Raw genomic sequence first — 22,248 nt, 5'->3', positions numbered from 1 at the left:
CCTCCCAAAATGCTGGGATCACAAGTGTCAGCCACTGTGCCTGGCGAGTTTATGAATTCTCTTTTATTTTTATTTTTTATTTATTTATTTTTGTTTTTTTGAGACGGAGTTTCGCTCTTGTAGCCCAGGCTGGAGTGCAATGGCACGATCTCGGCTCACTGCAACCTCCGCCTCCCGGGTTCAAGTGATTCTCCTGCCTCAGCCTCCCGAGTAGCTGGGATTACAGGATTGCGCCACCATGCCCAGCTAATTTTTGTATTCTTAGTAGAGATGGGGTTTCACCATGTTGGCCAGGCTAGCCTCGAACTCCTGACCTCAGGCGATCCACCCGCCTCAGCCTCCCAAAGTGCTGGGATTACAGGCATGAGCCACCGCGCCGGGCCTCTTATATTTTTTTGAGAGGGAGTCTGGCTCTGTCGCCCAGGCTGGAGTGCAGTGGTGCAATCTCGGCTCACTGCAAGCTCCGCCTCCCGGGTTCACGCCATTCTCCTGCCTCAGCCTCTCGAGTCGCTGGGACTACAGGCCCCCACCACGACACCTGGCTAATTTTTTTGTTGTTGTTTTTAGTAGAGACGGGATTTCACCGTGTTAGCCAGGATGGTCTCTATCTCCTGACCTCGTGATCTGCCCGCCTCGGCCTCCCAGAGTGCTGGGATTATAGGCGTGAGCCACCATGCCCGGCTGAGTTTATGAATACTTATATCAGAGTGGCTCATCACCAATCCTTGGGCTTTTTGCCATGGAAAAGTTAACTATGTACTCTGACTTGGTTCACCTTCTCCAAGCTATTGCCAGGAAATATTTCATATGTTCTGTCTTATTTGAAAAATTGATAGCCAGGAACAGTGGCTCACACCTGTAATCCCAGCATTTTGGGAGGCTGAGGCAGGCAGATCACTTGAGCTAATGAGTTTGAGACCAGCCTGGCCAGCATGGTGAATTTCAGCTCTACAAAAAAAATTAACCAGTGTGGTGTGCATCTGTAGTCCCAGTTAATGGGGAGGCTGAGGTGGGAGAATCGCTTGAGCCCAGGAGGTAGTCTGCAGTGAGCTATGATCTGCACTCCAGCGCTGGCAACAGTGAGACCCTGTGTCAAAAAAAAAAGAAAGAAAAATTGAGTCATTATTACCAGAAACTTGTGTAGTAGTCAGGATTCTCCAGAGAAACAGAAGCAACAAGATGTAGGGGAAGAGAGAGAGAGAGAGGTTTAAGGAATTGGTTCACATGGATTATAGAGGATGGCAAGTCCAAAATCTGCAAGGTGGGCCATCAGTCTGGATCCTCAGGGAAGAGCTGGTGTTGCAGTTCAAGTCTGAAGGCAGAATTCCTTCTTGCTTGGGTGGGAGTTGGGGGATTACTCTTCTGTTCTATTCAGGCCTTCAACTGATTGAACGTGGATTGCCACTCACATTATGGAGGGCAATCTGCTTTACTCGAGGTCCACTGATTAGAATGTTAATCTCATCCAAAAAAACACCCTCACGGGAACATCCAGTATAATGTTAAGCCAAACGTCTGGACATCATGGCCCAGCCAATTGATGGATAAAATTAACTATCACACCTTATCATTGTCTCACCCTTTTAAAGAAGGCTATGGGATATAGCTTACTTGTGAAATAGTTATCTCACCTATGGCCTGTCTCAGTTCCACCTCTGTCTAGTATTCAGACACTGAGGTTACATCTAGAACAGGTTGATCAATATTCCGTGTCCCATTACTTGTGTCCACTCATGGGCCCATGACTCTGGTTCTGCCTCTGGATAAATAGCAGATAGTTTTACCCTTAGTTGTTTCATTCATTTGTTCAAAAACATTTATGAATATGTGTAGAATGCCAGGGTAGGTGCTTCAGTGGATACACAGTGGGCAACTACTAGCTATCATCAAGTGTTCCCTGATTTCACAGAACTTACAGTCAGCCACAACGGGGGTTAGTCAGGGCTCTGTTTTTTGTTTTTTTTTTTTTTTTTTTTTTTTTTTTTTGAGACGGAGTCTCGCTCTGCTGCCCAGGCTGGAGTGCAGTGGCACAGTCTTGGCTCACTGCACTCCGCCTCCAGGGTTCACGCCATTCTCCTGCCTCAGCCTGGGAGGAGTAGCTGGGACTACAGGTGCCCGCCACCATGCCCAGCTAATTTTTGTATTTTTAGTAGAGACGGGGTTTCACCGTGTTAGCCAGGATGGTCTCGATCTCCTGACCTTGTGATCCGCCCGCGATCTCCTGACCTTGTGATCCGCCCGCCTCGGCCTCCCAAAGTGCTGGGATTACAGGCGTGAGCCACCGTGCCCGGTCGACAGGGCTGTTTTTTTTTTGTTGTTGTTGTTTGAGGTGGAATCTTGCTCTGTCGCCCAAGCTGGAGTACAGTGGCGCCATCTCGGCTCACTGCAACCTCTGCCTACCAGGTTCAAGCAATTTTCCTGCCTCGGCCTCCCAAGTAGCTGGGATTACAGGCACACACTGCCACACCCGGCTAATTTTTTGTATTTCAGTAGAGACGGGGTTTCACTGTGTTGCCCAGGCTGGTCTTGAACTCCTGAGCTCAGGCAAGCCACCCGCCTCGGCCTCCCAAAGCACTGGGGATTACAGGCGTAAGCCACCGCGCCCAGCCAAGAGCTCTGGTTTTAAGAATCAGCTCATGAAAGAAAAAAAGAAAGAAAAAACAGGCAGGGCATGGTGGCTCACCTGTAATCCCAGCACTTTGGGAGGCAGAGGTGAGGGATCACTTGAGTTCAGGAGTTCAAGACCAGCCTTGCCAACATGGCGAAACCCTATCTGTACTAAAAATACAAAAATTAGCCGGGCGTGGTGGCAGGCGCCTGTAATCCCAGCTACTCGGGAGGCTGAGGCAGGAGAATCGCTTGAACCTGGGAGGCGGAGGTTGCAGTGAGCCAAGATTGCGCCATTGCACTCCAGCCTGAGTGACAAAGCGAGACTGCGTCTAAAAAAAAAGAAAAAAGAAAAGGAAAGAAAGAAGAGGATTTCTTATAAGTATCTCACCAGCATCCCCCCAAAAGAATTGTGGTATAACGCGTCCTCCTGGGATCTGGAACAAACGGCCAGCGTCAGTAGAGGCACTTTCTCTACCTCAGGAGCCATGTGATCTTGGGAGTTGTTCCTGTTTCTCCGTAGACCCACCTCACTCTGCCAACTTGCTTCCTCTGTGGGTCCCCATCGACCAAACGCCAAGCTTGAGAGGAAGTCTTTTTTTCATTTTTTGAGACGAAGTCTAGCTCTGTCACCCAGGCTGGAGTGCAGTGGCACGATTTCGGCTCACTGCAACCTCTGCCTTCTGGGTTCAAGCGATTCTCCTGCCCCAGCCTCCCGAGTAGCTGGGATTACAGACGCCCGTCACCATGCCTAAGTGAATTTTTGTATTTTCAGTAGAGATGGGGGTTTCACTGTGTTGGCCAGGCTGGTCTCGAACTACTGACTTCATGATCCACCTGCCAGGGCCTCCCAAAGTGCTGGGATTACAAGTGTGAGCCACCGCGACCGACCATAATCTTCCTTAAATGCATGTATAGCTCATATTTATTTAATGCTTAATATTAGAATTGTTTTGGTCTTTATTAGTTTGGTTATATTTTCGTGACCAGAAATATGTTGTAGGAACTTAACTCATTTATATCAACTAGGCTGTGGTAAAAATAGTTTCATTATTTGTGATTTCACTTAACGTAACAGTTCCCAATAACCTATTAACATCAAGTACAATGACATTTTACCGTCAAACTTATCCATGAGTAAAAGTTGGGTATACCATATTTTCAGATGTTAATGCTTCCTTGAGATTTAGCAGTTTTAACCTTGACTAATATAGCCCTCTAGTGTTAAGATCATGGGTCTTGGAATAATGATATGGCCTGTCACATGAATTATTTTCCATCTTCAAACTTTGCAATACACTGGATTCTGCAAAGCAAGCTGGCTGATTTGAACATCAAATTATTATTCACAGTATTAGGTAGGAATTATATCTTGTGTAAGAGACACATCCCCAAGGCTCTTTCATTCAGTGTAGCAATACTTATTAAGTGACTATTGCATACTGCACTTCAGTGTCTATAAAAACACACATGAAAACTCTGGAATAGCTGCTTTCTAGGAAACTTGTCAGGTCACACCTTAATAACCAGGAGATTCATAAACCTTATCAGTGGTGAGGTTAACATCTCATGCACTTCTATGAACACCTCTGAGAATGTGAAGTCAGGGCTGGCTTGTAAAAGACAAATGATTCAACACATAGTTTGAACTTTTATTTATGTTTAATTTTTTAATTTTTACAAGATGCCGATAGTAGCTGGCTTATTAATGTACATTATTCTTTGATATTTCAGGAAGCCACAGTGTTCAACTGTGAACTACAGAGTCCTGTAAGTTTAAAATAACTTTGTTTCTCAACTATGTGATATCCAGGATTTTTTACAATTACTTTGAGATTTTTCCTCATCAGTAATGCAAAGAAAATTGCAATATGATTATACAATTTATTTTTATTTTTTTAGACAGGTTATCACTCTGTCGCCCAGGCCGGAGTGCAGGGGTGTGATTGTAGCTCATTGCAGCCTCAAACTCCTGGGCTCAGACGATCCTCCTTCAGCTTCCTAAGTAGCTGAGATTACAGGCACGTGCCACCATGCCTGGCTAATTTATTTTTTGTAGAGAGAGGGGTCTCACTTTGTTGCCCAGGCTGGTCTCCAACTCCTGGGCTCAAGTGATACCCAGCCTGGGCCTCCCAAAGTGCTGGGATTACGGGTATGAGCCACTGTGCCCAGCCTGATATACAATTTCTTCCTCAGACAGTCTGGCTCTGTCGCCCAGGCTGGAGTGCAGTGGCACAATCTTGGCTCACTGCAACCTCTGCCTCCCGGGTTCAAGCAATTCTCCTGCCTCAGCCTCCCGAGTAGCTGGAATTACAGGCATGCACCACCATGCCTGACCAATTTTTGTATTTTTAGTAGAGACCTGGGGTTTCATCATGTTGGCCAGGCTGTTCTTGAACTCCTGACCTCAAGCAATCCGCCCACCTCAGCCTCCCAAAGTGCTTGGATTTCAGGAGTGAGCTTTTGCACCTGGCCTGATATACAATTTCTGATGCTATAGAAGCAATGTATAACTCCTAATTTACTAGTGACTGCTATGCGCTTCATTAACATTATGGACATGTCGATCCCAAAAATCATATAGAAATGTTACTTTTTTTTTGAGACAGGGTTTCACTCTGTCGCCCAGGCTGGACTGCAATGGCGTAAACATGGCTCACTGTAGCCTCAACCTCTCGGGCTCAAGCAATCCTCCTGCCTCAGCCTCCCAAATAGTTGAGACTACAGGCATGTGTCACCACACCCCTTAATTTTTGTATTTTCTTTTCTCATTATGTTGTCCAGGATGGTCTCAAACTCCTGGGCTCAAGGCATCCTCCTGCCTTGGTCTCCTAAAGTGTTAGAATTACAGGCATGAGCCACTGTGCCCAGCCAGAAATGTTAAACTCACTTTATGGTTTCAGAACAAGGATCAAATAAAATAAAAATATAAAAAATAAAATATGGTTGGCCAAGTGTGGTGGCTCAGCCCTCTAATCCCAGCCCTTTGGAAGGCCAAGGCAGAAGGCTCGCTTGAGCTCAGGAGTTCAAGACTAGCCTTGGCAACATAGCAAGACCTCATTTCTGCTAAAAATAAAAAACATTAGCCAGACATGGTGGTCCACACTTGCAGTCCCAGTTATTCAAGAGGCTGAGGTGGGAGGATCACTTGAGCTTGGGAGATCGAGGCTGCAGTGAGCTATCATCGTGCCACTGCACTCCAGTCTGGCGACAGAGCAAGACCTTCTCAAAAATAAAATATGGTCGAAACGGGACAGACAAGGCGGCTACCTGTAACCCTGGCCGCTTTAGGAGCTGGGGCAGGAAAGTTGCTTGAGGCCAGGAATCCGAGACCAGCCTGAGCAACAGCAGGACCCGTCTATGAAAAAACAGGAGCAAGTAGTGGCACATCCCAATTGTGTCAGCTAACTGGGAGGCTGAGGCAGGAGGATCGCTTGAGCCCAGGAGTTCAAGGCTGTACTCCAGCCTGGGCGACAAAGCAAGAACCCTGTTCTCTAGGGAAAAAAAAAAAAAAGTCAAAACATTTCATAAAACTTTCACACAATGGAGGTTTAGTTAAGCTGTTACTCTTCTGTTCAATTTTGTTGCACCTATCAGAAGGCATAATTTCATAAAATCAGGATTCCTTGGCGTTTTAACCACTCTCAAAATATTTGATCCTACTGGAAGTTACTATGCAATGCTATCTTGTCCCTGAATCAACATAATTCAACTATCAGCTTCATATATATATATATATATATATATTTTTTTTTTTTGAGACAGAGTTTCGCTGTTGTTGCCCAGGCTGGAGTGCAATGGCGCAATCTTGGCTCACCACAACCTCCGCCTCCCGGGTTCAAGCGATTCTCCTGCCTCAGCCTCCTGAGTAGCTGGGATTACAGGCACGCACCACCACCGCAGCTAATTTTGTATTTTTAGTAGAGACAGGGTTTCTCCATGTTGGTCAGGCTGGTCTTGAACTCCCGACCTCAGGTGATCCACCCGCCTCGGCCTCCCAGAATGCTGGGTTTACAGGCATGACCCACTGTGCCTGGCAGTTTCGTGTATTCTTACTCCACTGGGTTCTGCTTTATCGTATTGACAGTAGACATTTCATTAAATGAAATGTAAAAAGAACACCAATACATACATATTAAAATTTTCTTACTAGAATCTTTTAGTATAATTTAAAAACCTGAAATGAGAATTCGCATCACTTTAAGTGGGCCTCTTGGGTTTTGAGGATGAAGTGGCTTTCTCTCAGAAATAGCTTTGAACCGTAACTCTAGTAACTACAGTGGCAGGCTCCATAGCTTGAACACAGCGTATTTTGTATCAATGCCCACAAATAAAACCTATTATAACTCTTAGGAAATAAAACTTGAATCCTGATTGGCAGAACTGCCTCAGTAAGGGCTGGCTGAACTGCATACCCAAAATGTTTTAGATCTACGGTCCACTTTCACGTTGGCTGGACTAATGCGTTTCTACTGCTCCTCTTACACGTTGACTGACTTTCCTCTCAGGAAGAGGTAGAGACTATGTTCCTTTTTTCCTCAATCTGGGACTTGGTTTCTGAGACATCACTGTTGTAACCAAGAGCATGGTAAAAGTGATGTTATGTGACATTGAAGGATAAGTCCTAAAAAGCCAACTCTGCCAAGCTCTCCTGGAGCCCCAAAATACCACCTAAGTCCAGCTGCCCTGAAGCCACCATGCTAGAGATTTTCGGGAAAGACTATACCACTAATAGTGAAAAGCACAAAGAGCATCCTTTCAGCTCAGAAGTGAAAAGCTTCATGAGACTCAGAACCAGAAGAGTCTGATACTCCCGAGTTCTTCACCCACAGAAAAGCTTATCATACACCATTGATCTTTGGATGCTTTGCTAACATAGCAAGAAATAATATACAGTTGATACTGCTAAGCACCACAGCCACCACTTGGTTGGGTTCAGAAGACATCCTACTTTACCTTTTTAAAGTTTGGTCCAAATTTGTACCTACAACTTTTCCTTTTTTCCTGCAGCACAGGTAAAATGTTGGAACCTTTAACAAGTTCAGGCAATGATGATATAAAGAAGTTAACATGCAACTAGCTGCACTGGCTTCTAAATTGAGTTCACTGACCTTACCATGAGTTTGTAGTAACATTTCTCTCCAATCTCTGAAAAAGTTTTTCTCTCCAGGCCATCTGTACGCTTTACGTAGGGACTGTTAACCAACCCACGTATTACACATAAGGACTCTAGGTAAAATCTAGTGTTTGAAAAACAGCATGTTATATATTACACTAGGTTTTTCGTTTTTTTTCCAGTGGTGGGCTGTCATTACAAAAGATTGAACTTTTATACACTTCCTAATCAAACTTAAGGGGAATCTAAACACAAAAACTAATTCACTTTCTAGGAGCTCTTTAAAAATGGGCTTAAACCTACAATCCAATCTCGTATCTAAGTATGATGGAATGCTTTTTCCCCAGTGGCATTCATATAGTTCAGCTGTCAAGCAGTACCTTTCTTAAAATACCAGACTGAAAATAGTTCAATTTTCTGTAAAAAGTCAGAGCCGGGCACGGTGGCTCATGCCTATAATCCCAGCAGTTTGGGAGGCTGAGGCGGGCGGATCACCTGAGGTTGGAAGTTCGAGACCAGCCTGACCAACACAGGGAAACCCCGTCTCTACTAAAAATACAAAATTAGCTGGGCGTGGTGGCACATGCCTGAAATCCCAGCTACTTGGGAGGCTGAGGCAGAACAATCGCTTGAACCTGGGAGGCAGAGGTTGCCGTGAGGCGAGATCGCGACACTACACTCGTCTGGGCAACAAGAGTGAAACTCCGTCTCAAAAAAAAAAAAAGTCAGATCTGTGTAAAGAGAATTAGTGTACCTGAAAATTGTTTTCAGCTGTCAATCACTTTGGTCCTTTACTGTCATTCTAAGAATCAGCCTAATTTGGTTTACCTTGTCTTACAAATAAGGATTAGCAAACTCACCAACATAAAAAAGGTGTAGTACATGCTGCAAAAATGTAAGTATACACTGACATTTACTTGCCAAAATAACCACAAATGACTACACATATTTAACTATAATTAAATCAAGTTTTTAGAAATTTAAAGTCTGCTTCCCTAGAAATACAGGAACTTTGTGTGATAAAACTTGAGACATATGACAATTTCTGAATAGCAACTGGAATATTCAACCAACAATGGTCATGGTCAGTTTTGTATTTTTTCCTTAACTTATATACTTCATTCTTTCCAACTATTTTAAAGCTAAATCTTTTTTAAAAAAGTTTTAAAAATAAGTCACAGGCAAATCATGAAGAGTTGGGTTTATTTCAACAGTAAATCTGAAACTCTTGCCTTAAGCAAGAGTACTACAGTAATTATATCAGGAATAGACAATTTCCTACACTGTCAAATATATAAAAGTTCCTTTTGCACTTTCTTCAACACTGATCAACAAGCAGATTCAGTCCACATTTGCTTTGATCTAACTACTGAGTTAACCCAAGCTTCTTCTTCAGAGACTCTGGCATCTCGGGTGGAGGAGGGCGAGGAAGTCTGAAGTAGACCTTCACGGAGTCATAGATAAACCACTGTAGTGCAGTCAGGGTACCAATCATGATGATACGGGCAAACAGTCCCTTCCATACACCTGGTTCAAACAGGAAAAGCAAATGAAAAAAATGCAACATATCCAAAACTGTTGTTCTTTCTTTCAAGAAAAAAACATCATCCTACCTTTAAATCCAAGTCTCTTGAGGACCAGAGAAGCACTGCTACCTTTTTCTTTATTCAACACAGATACCACAGAATCAGCAGGGTGAGAAACAATTGCACAAAAGACTCCAGCTGAAAAAAGATAAAGGATCCCATACAGTGCCAGTTAAAAACAAAACTTCACAGAGCCAATAATCATTTTTATGATTTTAAAATAATATTTTTCTAGTTCTAAAATAAAAATCAGACTCAGGGTGACACGGGTACAGTTATCAAGCTGTCTATCCTATGTAAAACGGAACAATCTTTTAAAGTTTTTCAGATTTTATTCAACACTTTCTGTATAAAATTCTTAATAAACAACAACAAAAAAATGGTGCAACAGTAAGATCAATACATTCCCAAGCCTAATAATGACATCCCATGAAACAGCCCTTTTAGGAACTAGTTAGCAAGTATTTATGAATCCTAAAAAGCATATAAAATGTTATGGGAAGATAAAACTGCTTTATAGGCCAGGCACATCACCTGAGGTCAGGAGTTTGAGACCAGACTCATCAACATGGTGAAACCCCATCTTTACAAAAATCAGGCCAGGCGCGGTGGCTCACGCCTGTAATCCCAGCACTTTGGGAGGCCAAGGCAGGCAGATCACCTGGGGCCAGGAGTTTGAGACCAGCCTGGCCAACATAGTGAAACCGTCTCTACTAAAAATACTAAAAATTAGCCGGGCGTAGTGGCAGACGCCTGCAATCCCAGCTACTCAGGAGGCTGAGACAGGAGAATCGCTTGAACCCAGGAGGCGGAGGCTGCAGTGAGCCAAGATTGCACCACTGCACTCCAGCCTGGGCAACAAGGGTAAAACTCCATCTCAAAAAAAAACAAAAAACAAAAACAAAAATCAGCCGGGCATGGCGGTGCATGCCCGTCCCAGCTACTTGGGAGGCTGCGGCAGAAGAATCACTTGAACCCAGGAGGAGGAGGTTGCAGTGAGCTATTATCATGCCACTGCACTCCAGCCTGGGCAACAGAGCGAGACTATGCCTCAGGGAAACCAAAAAAACAAAAACACTGCTTTATAACCTTTGGAGTATTTTTCCCTCTCAAAAAACGCCAATAATGGAAATGATTATTTGTTCATAATTTCAGACAAGTGTGTTCTAAGTAATTCGTACCTATGTAACCTGCTACAAATGTTACAACCAGCTGCTCTGGCTTTGAACATTCACTGCGGGGCTTAGGAACCACAAACTTGTACAGTGCTTCAACAGTACGTTCAAAGCAGGCGAACTTCATCATGGTGTATGGTATCTGTCTCATCCAGAGAGGAGCAACCCCCTTGTAGAATCTAGGAAATCAAGAGACTTGTTTTACACAGTTGCATACACTCATCTATCAGAGACTGTCATTATTAACAGAAATGTCCGCACACGAGTCGAGTCCTGATAGTAACAAATGGCAGCATAAATGCATGTCATTTCTATCAGAACGTTAGACTAACATGCAGGTATATTTCTCTTACATGCCAATGACTCAAGCACCTTTGACTATACAACCAAAAAAGTTGCTGGATGTTTCTTTGACTACTGGAACCACAAGAAACAAGAAGTTTACAAGTGGAACTCAGTTCAAGATTCATCCACAAAGGTGGATCTAAGGAAGCATGTTGTGGTCATGGAAATTCTTAACTGTGAATAGATCACAAGGATACTAACAAGCCCTCCCTAAAAGTTAATAGTAAATGTTTAGGCCAAACATCAAGTCATTTGTAGACCGACAAATGGTCCTTACTCTAGGGAAAAAAAAAAAACTCAGTCCAGGGCTCAAACCATGTATTAACTTATCTTTACCTCTCAAGTTTATGTTCTACATACAGGTAAATAGACATTAAATGTTATAATAGTCTTTTTAAAAAGTCTGGTAGGCTTAATACTAAAAAATGAAGTTCACAGCCAGACGCGGTGTCTCACGCCTGTAATCCCAGCACTTTGGGAGGCCGAGGCGGGTGGATCACCTGAGGTCAGGAGTTCGAGACCAGCCTGACCAACATGGAGTCTCTACTAAAAATACAAAATTAGCCAGGCGTGGTGGTGCATGCCTGTAATCCCAGCTATTCAGCAGGCTGAGGCAGGACAATCACTTGAACCTGGGAGGCGGAGGTTGCAGTGAGCTGAGATAGTGCCATTGCACTCCAGCCTGGACAACAAGAGCAAAACTCCGTCTCAAAGAAAAAAAAAAAAGAAGCCGGGTGCGGTGGCTCACACCTGTAATCCCAGCATTTTGGGAGGCCAAGGTGGGCGGATCATGAGGTCAGGAGATGGAGACGGTGAAACTCCGTCTATACTGAAAAATACAAAAAATTAGCTGGGCGCAGTGGCAGGCGCCTGTAGTCCCAGCTACTTGGGAGGCTGAGGCAGGAGAATGGCGTGAACCCGGGAGGCGGAGCTTGCAGTGAGCCGAGATCACGCCACTGCACTCCAGCCTGGGTGACAGAGCGAGACTTTGTCTCAAAAAAACAAAACAAAAAAAAAAACAAAAAAAAATGAAGTTCACTTAAAATAAGTACTTTCATAGTATAAATTTTTAAGTGTTTACTTACGCTTTTAGGCCTTCTTCCTTATACATTTTGGGAGCTGCATCCCTCAAAGTGTTGGCATAACCTGGCTGGGTTTGAATTCGAACCTTAGCAGCTTCCATAGGAGCCAGGGCAATGTCAGCAAAGAATTCAGCACTGGCAGAGGCAGCCAAATATAGTGATGTGCGCCAGAGATAAGTATTCTCCTAAAATCCAAAACACAAGGAAGGGATGTGAATTGCTGTTGTGTTGGTTTTCAATTGAAGTGACAGTTCTAGAAAACAACTAAGCTTCAGACATTTTATAAAGTAACACACGATGATATGGAATATATATGTGGTCTCATAACCTCATTAACAAAACACGTAACTATGTGAACAACATGAATATTCAAAAAATATCTAGATGCCATGCCCCGGAACTACGCAAAGGAGTCCCAGAGCCCTTCTCTAAAAAACTCAAAATCCAACTTACTTAGAAAACAAGATAGTATATTAAAAGGAGAATTGTAATTTAATGAAATACATTTATCAACCTGTCTCTGCTGACACAGGCATACGATTTAAAACAAGTTGCTCACTTTGTAGGACCATTTTCTTCAGTGCTAAAATAAGGCAAGACAGACAAAAATCTAAGAACACTCGGAAAGTCTTAAACACTCGGAACATTCAATTTTAAAGTTAATTACATACCTCTCCAAGCATATTGCTATACAAGACTTTAAAGACTTCATAAAAGCCAAACTTGCAGAGTCCCTGCATGGAGTAGCCAAGGAAAGTCGGAGCCCATCCTTTAGCCAAACCACGAACACCATCCTCTTTAAGTGTAACTGAGAATCCGTTAAATATGCCCTTGTACTTTTGGGGGTCCACCTTTATTTAAAACAAGAAAAAAAAAATTAAATGCACCAAACAGCTAACATAAAAATTTAATCTCATGATTATTTTTGTTTGGGTTCCATAATAAATTTCAGCAACTACACAAAAGGTAACTACAGTAATTCCTGCCAGGCACGGTGGCTCACATCTGTAATCCCAGCACTTTGGGAGGCTGAGGCAGGTGGATTACCTGAGCTCAGGAGTTCAAGACCAGCCTGGGCAACACAGTGAAACCCCATCTCTACTAAAATACAAAAAATTGGACGGGCATGGTGGCGTGCACCTGTAATCCCAGCTACTCGGGAGGGTGAGGGTGAGACAGAACAATCGCTTGAGCCTGAGGGAGGGAGGTGGAGGTTGCAGTGAGCCACGATGGCACCACTACACTCCAGCCTGGGCAGCAGAGCAAGACTCCATCTCAAAAAAAAAAAAAGAAATACAGTAGCTCTCCCTTATCCAAGAGTTCATTTTCTGTGGCTTCAGTTATCCAAGGTCAACTGACATCTGAAAATATTAAGATATTTTGAGTGAGGAACTACATTCATATAACTTTTATTAGTTTATGCTTATCACTGTTTATTATTGTTCATTTGATTACTTTTATAAATAGAAACTGTTGTACATTAAGGTCTAGCTTTCTGTGTCAAACCTAAGTCTTGGAGTGATAGTTAAGAGGGTAAAATTTCAACAAAAGCTTTCTGTGTCAAACTTAAGTCTTGGAGTGATAGTTAAGAGGGTAAAATTTCAACAAAAATACGTAACAAAACTGATTCTTAACAGATTTCTTACCACCCAACTCCTACTACTTTTTTTGTGTTTTTTGTTTGTTTGTTTTTTGAGTCTTGCTCTGTAGCCCAGGATGGAGTGCCATGGTGTGATCTCAGCTCACTGCAACCTCCACCTCCCAGGTTCAAGCGATTCTCCTGCCTCAGCCTCCCGAGTAGCTGCGACTACAGGCACGCCACCATGCCCAGCTAATTTTTGTATTTTTAGCAGAGATGAGGTTTCACCATGTTGGCTAGATTGAGTTCTGATCTCGAACTCCTGACCTCAAGTGACCCACCTGCTTCGGCTACCCAAAATGCTGGCATTCCAGGTGTGGGCGACCATGCTTGGCCCACCTCCTACTTTTTAAAAGCTACTGTCTAGATAATAGATATAACTGTATTCCTAACATATGCTAGTTCTTTAAGTAGCTTATAGCATAAAGTTTTGTGAACACTAAACAAACTAAACACAAGTTAAAAAAAAAAAGCACATAAACTAAATTCACTTCAAGAGACATGCATAACACGTTTTAGCAAAGGTACATTTCATATCCATTACATTAACTAATGGGGGGGGAGGAAAAGCTTATCTATTTCTGCCAGTACTAGAAGGGATGGTATACATCACCTTCCTCTCCCTCCTAATATTTCAAATTCATTTCTCTTTTAGGTAAGTAGACTTCTAATCCAGTTTGGAACAAATAAATTTTCGATGTCTTGTTTTTGTTTCAATGATCTTAATTAAAATATATTCAAATTATTTTAAAATGTTGTGTAAATAAACAAGAGGCTAATCTGACAAAATTTTCATACTAAGATATTAAGAGCACTTTAAATAAATCTACATGTACTCTTTGCCTTGGTCTTATTAGTAGATAAAGGACATTGTTACTTCACATAATACACAGACTTGTTTACCCACTCCAACACATAGGTGCTTGTTAAATGACTATTTGGGGCACTAGTAAGCTTGAAGAACTCCGGCCAGAAGTGAAGAGCAGCAGCAAAGAGCCATTTACAGCCAGACTCTAAAAGTGAACAATTTACTCAAACAATAGAGGCATTTATTGGATTTAAAACACTAGTCAAAATAAAGCCCACAATTTAAAGAAATTCTATGTGGTTTCCTACTGAAGTTTCTAGCAGTTGTGATGTCTTCAAATTCTCATTTAAGATTTTATTTAGAGTTAAGTCACATGAGAGATACTTTCAATGTTGTCATCTCAATACAAACCTGCATACGGCATTTCACTAAATCCAGGGGAACCACAGCAGTGTGTGTCAGACCACAACTTAAGACCCCACCAAAGCCACACAGTGCATAATACTTCGCGGAGCCAAATTCACAACTGTACTCTGTAGTAAGAGAAGACACACCATGCATTTTAATATAAAACTCATGTTACTGGTCATAAACTTACCTCCTGGACAGTTAGGTTTCCACACAGCTTGTTAGATGACTATATCTTATAACTTAACAGTCAGTCATGCTTCAATATGCTCTAGTCCAGCATGCAAAACAAACCTGCATTCTGCATTTAACCAGATCTAGAGGAACCAATGCTGTATGTGTTGTGCCACAGCTAATAATTCCTCCAAGTCCACAAAGGATAAAGAATCTGCCAGATCCATAGTCACAGCTATACTGCTCTGTTTGATTGGAAAAAAAAAAATCAAGTAAGTATTTCTTCAGAGATGACTAAGGCCACTGGAATGAAAGAAAATGTTTCCCTGTGAGATACTATTATCACAGCTGAATAGCTTTGGCCACAATTAAGTGGCTTAAAAAAAAATTCACTGCCAAATTCAGATCATTTAAAAATTATGAGGGTTCTGTATCTGATACTATTAATAGCTCGTATTCTGCCATATTAATTTTTTTAAAAGTTTTCTACATTAACGGCTTTTACAATTAAAGTCAAACTTCAAATTATTAACCACTGGTAAGAGCACACTTCAGAGTACAAACGAAACTCAGAAAGATCACTCGACATGTAAAAGGCTTGCAAACAACTTCAAAGTTTATCCCAGCCACTAACCAATACTATCCCCACTTAAGAACTCCTGTAACATAAAAACGGATACGCACAAATTCCTGCAGTCAAATACATTTAATACACAAATAATGTTAGCTTTAACTTTTAAACTGAACGACAGATAGTGTAAATAAGGACTCTATCCATACTAAAGACAACAGAAGCACATGAATGATTTAAAGAAAAAAATCTTTCGATTTTACAGGCACAAGGTAGATAACATTCTTAGGACTCCTACAATTCGGTTTTCAGGTTTCTCTGTATGTACATACTTCACTAGGATTTAAAACACACACAACTAAGTTAAAGCTGGGCCCAACCACCAAGAATCCCAAGAGATAATCACACCAAAGGGACGCCCACCAATTATCTCCTTTCTATTGCCTATGTAGGGCTGCAAGCTGCCTCCTCCAGTCGCACGAAAACAGGACATCTAGTTATCTCATATACAATTAAGTGCAAAAATGACTGACCTGGCGTCGACAAATATAAAACTTAGGAAAGGACTATTTTTAAGAAAACTAAGGGCAAATCAAAGGACAGGTAATATAGTTAGTAGAACTGTGGGTGGTCAGTAGTTTCGGGAGGAGAGTTTACCCAGTACTTAGTTTGCTGACCAAGCGAGCTCACGGCGGAGAAAGAGCTAGTCACGGCCTCTCTTCCCTCGGGCACACGGAGGTCACGAAGGGACACAGGGCCTCAGCGCTTCCACGCCCTTGAGGGAAGGCCAAGGATCTGACACCCGCCTATGGTGGAAAAGGCCGATACCCCAGGGCAAGCAACTGGGCGCCGTCCTACGGTGCAGCGGGCTGGACTCGTCCTTCCCTGTCCTCCAAGCCGGGTCCAGGCCTCAAAGGCTGGGCGGCCCACAAGTAGACCACACGACTGTATTGGGCAGGGTCTGATCTCACCTTCCACGGCGGCGGCTGCCAGGTTGCGAGGGCGGCGGGGCTGGCCCGTGGGCCCTGGGGAGCTGCTGCGGAGGTCCCCGAGACCATCGTGCACCAGCTGCAGATGTGGCGTGTTGAAGGGGTTCGCCCGCGCCAGGTGCGCCACGGACGAGAACATCTTTCTAGGGGAGGAGGGAGCGACGGTTAGAGGACAGGCAAGGCGCCGGTTAACGTTACCGGCGCCCTGGAACCCCAACCGGGGCCTTTTCCTTCCCGTCTCCACGCCCTTGAAGAGGTCACGGCGGCCTTCGAAAGAGGCTGCTCCCGGCTGGGCCCACCGCCAAAGCAGCGGCCCCACAGGAGCTCTGGGCTCCGCTCCCCACACCCGCCACAGGAGAAGGCCCGGCCACACTCACTCCCTAAGATGGCGATCACACAACCACTCCCTTGGAAAGGTTGCGGCTCACAGAGGCCGGACGTCCTCCGGGTCCTAAGATGTGTGCCCTTCGCGCGTCGTCGGCGTGACGCACACAGCGCGCCACTGCAAGTACGCGTCGCCCATTGGTGGAGAAGAGCGCCGAGCCCGTAGCGTCATCGCGTTCTCCTAGCAACCTTATTCCCGCCCCTGCCCGCCCCAGCTCTTCCGCCCGGCTTGTGCGCGGGAGGATTCGTTCTGCGCAGGCGCGCGTTCCGGGTCTATATTTTTTGAGAGGGGTCGGGCTCGAGCTCTTACCCTGCTCGCTTTGTCCCTTCACCTTCAGGTGTCTCTCCTTGACCACGGGCTTCAGTTCGCTTCACTTAAGTGAATCACAGTATCTAGTAGTCACTTAAAAAACAAAACAAAACGCGAATGCTTGATAATATATTTAGGTGTTGGAGTTACAACATCACTGCAGTACTTTGTGTCACAACTTCTGCCATTACAGTACTTTTTAAAATAAGTTCCATCCATTGACATTAAACATAGGTATGTCTGTATTTTTCATCAGACTCCTGGAGAATATTTTAAAAAGAAATGTGCAGCAAGAAGTCTTACGACAGCTTGCCGCGTTATCACAGTAATCTACAGAACACGTTGAAACATTGAACTCCTGAGATGTTACAGCGATGAACTACTGAAAGTGACTGATAGCAGATTGTGCGTGTGTGTGGTTAATACATTTAGGAAGCTTTCATTAGATTCAGCTCAACAGGGAGGGGCGTAGTTTAGTTGGGGAGAGTTTAATAGGGATTCAACCTGTTAGACTTCTGACTCTTATATTTTCCAAGCTCTTGACAAAGTAACCTTGGGAATTTACTTCATCTCTGTGTACCTGTTCCCTAGATGTAAGATAGGGGTGGGACTGGCCTCATAGGTTCACACTGGTACAGTCACACATGGCCTTACACTTCATTTAATGCTCTGCTGTCATTTTGATTTTTTTTTTTTTTCTTTTGAGATGGAGTCTTGCTCTGTCGCCCAGGCTGGAGTGCAGTGGGGCGATCTCAGCTCACCGCAACCTCCGCCTCCCGGGTTCAAGCGATTCTCCTGTCTCAGCCCCCGGAGTAGCTGGGACTACAGGCGTGCACAACCACGCCCGGCTAAGTTTTCTATTTTTAGTAGAGACAGAGTTTCGTCACGTTGGCCAGTCTGGTCTCGAACTCCTGAGCTCAGGTGATCCGCCCACCTCGGCCTCCCAATGTGCTGGGATTACAGGCCTGAGCCACCATGCCCGGCTTGAAATTCTTAATACATGTATGAACAAGGGGCCACGCTTTTTTTAGTTTGCACTGGACCCTGCAAATCAGGTGTCTGGTTCTGGATGGGAGTAATACTTACCTTGCAGAGTCTATGAGAACTCAATGAGATAATGTCTAAAAGTCTACAGAAGATGTTACCTAAAAAAAGTTAGCATTGGCCGGGCGAGGTGGCTCACGCCTGTAATCCCAGCACTTTGGGAGGCCGAGGCGGGCAGATCACGGGGTCAGGAGATCGAGACCATCCTGGCTAACACGGTGAAACCCCGTCTCTACTAAAAATACAAAAAATTAGCCGGGCGAGGTGGCGGGCGCCTGTAGTCCCAGCTACTGAGGAGACTGAGGCAGGAGAATGGCGTGAACCCAGGAGGCAGAGCTTGCAGTGAGCCGAGATCATGCCACTGCACTCCAGCCTGGGCGACAGAGCAAGACTCCGTCTCAAAAAAAAAAAAAAACAAAAAAACAAAAGTTAGCATTGAGGCTGCGGCATCACGGCACTCTCTAAGCAACCCTATCCCAGACCCAGCCCTTCTGGCCCAACTAAAGTCCTACAGTCCCAGGAAGAATTCCAGAGTGGAGGGCACAGGAAGGGAAGTAGTGACAGATAAAGTTAAAAAAGTACACTAGCACCTGATTGTCCAGGGCCTCACATACCAGACTGAGGAGTCTGATCTTATGTAGACAGAGGTAGTCACTGAAGGGTCTGGACTTTCTCTCTCTCTTTTTTGGTTAATTCAACTTTATGGTGCTTTTCTAATTTAAAAATCCTTTGTCATGAAAAAGTCAAATATTATGTAAAAATATATGACTGTAGTGAATCTTCCTATTCCCTTCCCCCAGCACCGGGTAATACCGTGACCCTTTGCTGCACATTTTTTCAGCTGGAACAGCTGGTACCCTTCACCATGGGGCTGCACATGCTCGTGGCCCAGAACTCACAGAAGTTGATCTAGAAGATACAGTGGTAACTGAAGGAGCTGCAGGCCCAGCTCCTACCCCATGTGGGAGCTGGTGACCTTCAGAATGTAATGACTGTTGCTCCACTTCTGCCTTCCAAACTGCACACATTTCTCTTATAGCTAGCCCTAACCCAAAACTATGCAGGGAAAGGAATCTAGGAAATGTGGTTCTAGCCTAGCTAAGTTGACATGGTAAAAAAAACACCACTGGGCTTTGCAGGCACCGCTGCTGCCAGGAGCCCTGTGCTATCAGCCATGGTCAACCCCACCGTGTTCTTTGACACGGAGCCCTTGGGCCGCATCTCCTTTGAGCTGTTTGCAGACAAGTTTCCAAAGACAGCAGGAAACTTTCATGCTCTGAGCACTGGAGAGAAAGGATTTGGCTATAAGGGTTCCTGCTTTCACAGAATTGTTCCAGGGTTTATGTGTCAGGGTGGAGACTTCACATGCCATGATGGCACTGGTGGCAAGTCCATCTACAGGGAGAAATTTGATGACAAGAACTTCATCCGGAAGCATACAGTTTCTGGCATCTTGTCCATGGCAAATGCTGGACCCAACGCAAACAGTTCCCAGTTTTTCATCTGTGCTGCCAAGACTGAGTGGTTGGATGGCAAGCATGTGGTCTTCAGCAAGGTGAAAGAAGGCATGAATATTGTGGAGACCATGGAGTGCTTTGGGTCCAGGAATGGCAAGACCAGTAAGAAGATCACCATTGCTGACTGTGGGCAACTCTAATAAGTTTGACTTGTGTTTTATCTTAACCACCAGACCATTCCTTCTGTAGCTCAGGAGAGCACCCTCCACCCCATTTGCTCGCAGTATCCTAGAATCTTTGTGCTCTCACTGCAGTTCCCTTTGGGTTCTATGTTTTCCTTGTTCCTTTCCATGCCTAGCTAGATTGCAGAGTTAAGTTTATGATTATGAAATAAAAACTAATTAACAACAGCAACAAAAAAAGTACCAGAGTCTATCGGTTGTCAACATGGCATCAATGAACACCTCTTGTAATCATATTTAACTTCCAGACAAAAACTAAAGAGCAAAATCAGACTTCTACCTAACATGAAGCAGCTGTCCCTTGGACAATTGTGAACAAGCTAATTCTACCCAAAAGAGGATACAAAATCCTTTTATCCGTCTTTAGGTGATGTTATTGCAGCAGGTATGGACTAAGACAAGGGGGTTGGCCTCCTTAACATTCAAGAGGCTCTCGGCCTCCAACCTGACACAAGTAGGGAAATTGCCTGAAGGACCATAACTCTCCACTGTGGAGATTCAAATCTGCCTCCCGGGTTCAAGCAATTCTCCTGCCTCAGCCTCCGGAGTAGCTGGGATTACAGGCACGCGCCACCATGCCCGGCTAATTTTGTATTTTTAGTAGAGATGGGGTTTCTCCATGTTGGTCAGTCTGGTCTCGAACTCCCAACCTCAGGTGATCCACCTGCCTCGGCCTCCCAAAGTGGACAGTAGGTTTTAAGAAGAATCAGCAGATCCCGCCAGGCAACCACCTCAGGTGAGGCCATTACAGATTTCACAGGGACGAGGAACATAACCTCCTCAGACAGGAGAGGAAGGGCTTCTTTGACTGACAAGGAGGCTCAACAGAATTTAGGGGTTCTGGCTGGGCATGGTGGCTCACGCCTATAATCCCAGAACTTTGGGAAGCCGAGGTAGGTGGATCTCTTGAGTCCAGGAGTTAAAAACCAGCCTGGACAACATGGTGAAACCCTGTCTCTTAAAAAAAAAAAAAAAAAAAAGCCAGGCATAGTGGCATGCCCCTGCAGTCCCAGCTACGCAAGAGGCTGAGGAGGGAGGATCACTTGAGCCTGGGAAGCAGAGGTAGCAGTGAGCCGAGATCGCGCCATTGTACTCCAGCCTAAGCAACAGTTAGAGATCTTGTCTCAAAAAAGAAAAAAAAAAAGAATATGGGGGTTCATGGTCCTAGTGGAATCATAATCTGCCCAGGTGTCACTATTCCAAAATTTTGGGTCTCAAAACATTGCCCTAACTTTAAACACTATGAGATTGGGAATTCAATTTGCATTGTAATTCAGAATTAGATTTTGAGTTTGATTTTTAGAAAGTACAGTCTTGCAGATACAGCAAAGCAGTCAAGGCGACCAGGTGCGGTGGCTCATGCCTGTAATCTCAGCACTTTGGGAGGCCAAGGTGGACGATCACAAGGTCAGGAGTTCAAGACCAGCCTGGCCAAGACGGTGAAACCCTGTCTCTACTAAAAATACAAAAATTAGCTGGGCGTGGTGGCGCGCGGCTGTGGTACCAGCTACTCAGGAGGCTGAGGCAGGAGAATCGCTTGAAGCCAGGAGGCTGGCAGAGGTTGCAGTGAGCCGAGATCACACTATCACACTCCAGCCTGGGCAACAGAGCGAGACTCCATCTCAAAAAACAAACAAAGCAGTCAAGGCTTTCTGGTCCTTTATCTGATGTTGAACTGAGAAGTTAAAGCCCTAAGTTATCATTTTCTTTCCCCCAGTTATCCAACATAATTAGAAGAAGCAAACCAATCCAAAGCATCTGCTTGGTCAACCCAACACCTTGCTTTCTTTTTTTTATTTTTATTTCTTTTTTGAGATGGAGTCTCGCACTGTCGCCCAGGCTGGAGTGCAGTAGCACGATCTTGGCTCACTGCAAGCTCCACCTCACAGGTTCACGCCATTCTCCTGCCTTGGCCTCCCGAGTAGCTGGGACTACAGGCGCCCATCACAATGCCCGGCTGATTTTTTTTGTATTTTTAGTAGATACAGGGTTTCACCATGTTAGCCAGGATGGTCTCGATCTCCTGACCGCGTGATCCGCCCGCCTCAGCCTCCCAGAGTGCTGGGATTACAGGCGTGAGCCACTGCGCCAGGCCAGCCTTGCCTTCTTTAGGCACTTGATTACAGGTAATAATTTAGGGCATTGTTTTTGCTAATGCATGCCATAGACAACAGTGTTGCCTTTCTCACTGACTAAAGCTTGTATGATTACCTTCCTGTATTTGCAAGGCTGTACTTTCTGAAAGCCAAACTCAACATCTAACTGAGTTACAATGCAAAATGAATTTCCAATCTCATAGGGTCTCCTGTTA

The 22,248-nt window shown here is 44.4% G+C and overlaps 1 protein-coding gene, 1 non-coding gene and 1 pseudogene across 4 annotated transcripts, besides 5 other annotated features; 1 reads left to right on the top strand and 2 right to left on the bottom strand.

The window, feature by feature from the left end:
- SLC25A3 (solute carrier family 25 member 3) lies at positions 4,251–16,932 on the bottom strand. 3 transcript variants are annotated; one of them, NM_005888.4, is made up of 8 exons: positions 16,878–16,932; positions 16,483–16,643; positions 15,061–15,185; positions 12,583–12,762; positions 11,915–12,096; positions 10,491–10,663; positions 9,337–9,447; positions 4,251–9,250 (listed from the first exon to the last, which is right to left on the bottom strand). In NM_005888.4, exons 2-8 carry the CDS (start codon positions 16,637–16,639, stop codon positions 9,090–9,092), a joined length of 1,089 nt encoding a protein of 362 aa, NP_005879.1. In that variant the 5' UTR covers positions 16,640–16,643; positions 16,878–16,932; the 3' UTR covers positions 4,251–9,089. The 3 variants fall into 3 exon arrangements, with proteins under 3 accessions (NP_005879.1, NP_002626.1, NP_998776.1); NM_002635.4 differs by lacking the exon at positions 15,061–15,185 and adding an exon at positions 14,770–14,891; NM_213611.3 differs by lacking the exon at positions 15,061–15,185 and adding an exon at positions 14,770–14,891 and having other exon boundaries at positions 16,483–16,932.
- Positions 10,734–10,983, bottom strand: SNORA53 (small nucleolar RNA, H/ACA box 53). The gene has a single exon (NR_003015.1). It is a non-coding gene; the product is annotated as a small nucleolar RNA, H/ACA box 53 (small nucleolar RNA).
- Positions 14,915–15,144: an enhancer, noted in NCBI's record as "active region_6847". NCBI's record gives its function as "activates an Ori minimal core promoter by ATAC-STARR-seq in GM12878 lymphoblastoid cells {active_cell/tissue: GM12878}" and the evidence as "EXISTENCE:reporter gene assay evidence [ECO:0000049][PMID:35858748]".
- Positions 15,893–16,517: an enhancer, noted in NCBI's record as "NANOG-H3K27ac-H3K4me1 hESC enhancer chr12:98987879-98988503 (GRCh37/hg19 assembly coordinates)". NCBI's record gives its function as "activates a minimal SCP1, AML or CMV promoter by ChIP-STARR-seq in naive and primed H9 embryonic stem cells {active_cell/tissue: H9 hESC(naive and primed)}" and the evidence as "EXISTENCE:reporter gene assay evidence [ECO:0000049][PMID:30033119]".
- Positions 16,518–17,142: an enhancer, noted in NCBI's record as "NANOG-H3K27ac-H3K4me1 hESC enhancer chr12:98987254-98987878 (GRCh37/hg19 assembly coordinates)". NCBI's record gives its function as "activates a minimal SCP1, AML or CMV promoter by ChIP-STARR-seq in primed H9 embryonic stem cells {active_cell/tissue: H9 hESC(primed)}" and the evidence as "EXISTENCE:reporter gene assay evidence [ECO:0000049][PMID:30033119]".
- Positions 16,841–16,940: an enhancer, noted in NCBI's record as "active region_6846". NCBI's record gives its function as "activates an Ori minimal core promoter by ATAC-STARR-seq in GM12878 lymphoblastoid cells {active_cell/tissue: GM12878}" and the evidence as "EXISTENCE:reporter gene assay evidence [ECO:0000049][PMID:35858748]".
- Positions 17,191–17,410: an enhancer, noted in NCBI's record as "active region_6845". NCBI's record gives its function as "activates an Ori minimal core promoter by ATAC-STARR-seq in GM12878 lymphoblastoid cells {active_cell/tissue: GM12878}" and the evidence as "EXISTENCE:reporter gene assay evidence [ECO:0000049][PMID:35858748]".
- On the top strand, positions 19,371–20,103 carry PPIAP8 (peptidylprolyl isomerase A pseudogene 8; annotated as a pseudogene).

The sequence above is a fragment of the Homo sapiens genome, chromosome 12 (genome assembly GCF_000001405.40).
Source record: "Homo sapiens chromosome 12, GRCh38.p14 Primary Assembly".
Taxonomy (NCBI): domain Eukaryota; kingdom Metazoa; phylum Chordata; class Mammalia; order Primates; family Hominidae; genus Homo; species Homo sapiens.
Note: the sequence above shows the minus strand (reverse complement) of the source record. Positions and strands in the feature narration are given on the sequence as shown.